The 2,757-nt window shown below is 40.6% G+C and overlaps 1 annotated feature.

Moving 5' to 3' along the window:
* Window positions 998-1,198: a silencer, noted in NCBI's record as "peak1431 fragment used in MPRA reporter construct". NCBI's record gives its function as "represses an SCP1 promoter by STARR-seq MPRAs in K562 erythroleukemia cells {active_cell/tissue: K562}" and the evidence as "EXISTENCE:reporter gene assay evidence [ECO:0000049][PMID:32103011]".

The following is a 2,757-nucleotide window of genomic DNA, read 5'->3' on the forward strand; positions in this document are numbered from 1 at the left end:
AGACACAGTCTTGTTCAGATTATTTTGTTAAATTTTTCATTCCTTCCCAGCTCATTTCTCAATTTTAAATTCTACATTCTCTTATGAGATTATTTATTTATGTGTTTGTTCCCTAATAAACTATAGTGTGAATTCACTGAAAGGAGAAAGCTCACATCATTTTGCTCACCATTAAATACTCAGGAATGTTTTTGGACACAAAATAAGTACCAAAAAACTATTTATTTTGTTAGAATAGCACATACTTTTTTTTTTTTCTGAGGTGGAGTCTCCCTCTGTCACTCAGGTTGGGCTGGAGTGCAATGGCATGATCTTAGCTCATGGCAACCTCTGCCTCCTGGGTTCAAGCTATTCTCATGCCTCAGCCTCCCAAGTAACTGGGATTACAGGTGCATGTCACCATGCCCGGCTAGTTCTTTTGTATTTTTAGTAAAATCAGGGTTTCAGGCTGGTCTCAAACTCCTGTTGTTGGTCAGGCTGGTCTCAAACTCCTGACCTCATGTGATCTGCCTGCCTCGGCCTCCAAAAGTGCTGGGATTACAGGCATGAGCCACCACACCTGGCCTTGAATAGCATATAATATTGCTTCCTCTATTATCCAGACTTCATTATTTTATCCTTTTTATGCATATACAAGCTTTCTTAATCTGGATGATAGATGAGTTGATCAAGCAATGTTGTTAACTGATTTAGCAAACAAATAGCATTCATAAGCATTAATATCTGTCTGAATATTATTAAAATGTTTAATGAAATGAAATTTTGGTGGTGATTATTTTATACTCAACTTTTCCTAAGTAATAAGGATATTCTTTCATGTATTTAATAGCTTTATGTTGTCTCAGATATGCATGAAAGAAAAAATCATCTTGAAACAGACAATAAATGTGATCTTTTTATTCAGGATGGCCTTTAAATTATTTTCCAACTCTGAGATTTCATGAATCTACAATCACCTAAGGTTCATGATGTGCTCTTCCTTAATTCCTTGACTGTCTTATGATTTGAATTTTCCCTGAAACTTGAACGTCATCTTCTTTCAAAACTTGATTCAACATCCACTGGAAAACTCTAGGCTGATGCCAAGACCTATTAACCAGAGTAGGAATCAGCTGAGTCAAGTTAAGCAATGTGAAGTATTCGAGATTAAGTTCTCTCCTCTTCTGACAGTTTATCCAAATATCTTGTTAAAGAATTATTTAAGCTGGTGATGCTTTTTAAAATATGTAGTATCACTACACCTTCTGAGGGCTATCTTTGTGTCATCTCAACTATTGGAAGTTGATGTTGAGAGTGCAGGAGGAAGCCAAATGCCTAGGCAGATAGGGCTGGGTCCCTGGTGAAACCCTACCTCCAAACTGAAGGCAGGTTACAGCCTGAAAGCCAAGCTACAAGTTAAAACCTTGGACCGGATTGAGAACTTGTCTTCCTGTTTGGCACACTTTCCTCTGATTGGTCTCCACCCTTCTCCTATTTTACATATACCTACCCTTTCCTAATTAATTTTTCTACACTGTTGTGCCCACCTTTGAGTGATGTTGGGAGAAAAGCTGAGTGTTGGGAGAGAAGCTGAGGCAGGGCTTGCCTGTCTGACATAATGTAAAAGAGTCTTGGAACAAGTCCTGGGTCCAGGGTCTAAAACCTCTCGTGGCCTTTGGAACACCAAGCTCTATGCTAAAGGGTGGAAGGCTACCCTGACACACCATAATCTAAGCCCAGGGCACAAAACCCCTTGTGGCTTGGATAGAATCCAGGGCTCAAGGCATAAAACCCCTCATGGCTCTGGAATGTGTCTAGACTTGCTGGCTCCTTGCTCCTTGCTCTCCCAGGATTGATTGTATCTTGAGTTAAAAGAACCTGCCCTCCATTATCTCAAGTAGCAGACCATATGCTAAACCGTCACAGCTGTAAATCATGTGCTTAATGCAACGCTCCGTTTCGACCCCCACATTCTCACCAACTGTTTGTTTGTTCACCATTAAATAGTCTGGACTTCCAGAGCTCAGGGCTTTTGCAGCCTCCATACTTGCATTGGCCCCCTGGATCCACTTTCTCTCTCAAACTGTCTTTTCTCATTCCTTTGACTCCGCTGGACTTCATTGCCCCCATGACCTGGTGTTGAGTCTGATCACCCCAACAAGTGGTGTCTTTGCTTTAACTATTTTTTGCATACTCACAAACCAATCAGCATGCACTCCCCATTCTGAGTCCATAAAAGATCCTGCACTCAGGTGAGCTGGGTCACGCCAGTGTGGCCAAGTGGGACCCTGGTGGGGTGTCACTGGCTGGGGCTCCCCAGCCTGCAAAGTGACTGAGAAGAAAAATCCTACATCAATGTAGTTTCTGTGTGTGAATGACCACAGAATTTCATATGCAGAATTTTCTAGCAGATACAGAAGCATGAAGGGGTATTCACAAGCAGATTTGGATTTTTAAATGACAATCTTTTGATATTCTGTGTCTTGTGAGACATTGCTGGCATACTTTGTTTTTTAGTCTTTAGACTTGGTTTCCTTTGGTTTTTGTAAACATGTTTATAATAGCTGTTTTGTAGTCTTTTTTTCTGAGAAGTTCAACATCTGGCCCCCCAGGATGTTTGTTCTGGCTAAATTTTTTAGTATGTGACTTACTTTTTGGTTTCTTTGCAGGTTTTGTGATTTTTTATTAAAATGTGGCACTTTAATTGATATATTGTAACAATGCTGATATTAGGGATCCCCACCCTCCCACTGCCTGGCCAGAGATTGTTGTTTCTTG

The sequence above is a fragment of the Homo sapiens genome, chromosome 11 (assembly GCF_000001405.40).
Source record: "Homo sapiens chromosome 11, GRCh38.p14 Primary Assembly".
In the NCBI taxonomy this organism is placed as follows: domain Eukaryota; kingdom Metazoa; phylum Chordata; class Mammalia; order Primates; family Hominidae; genus Homo; species Homo sapiens.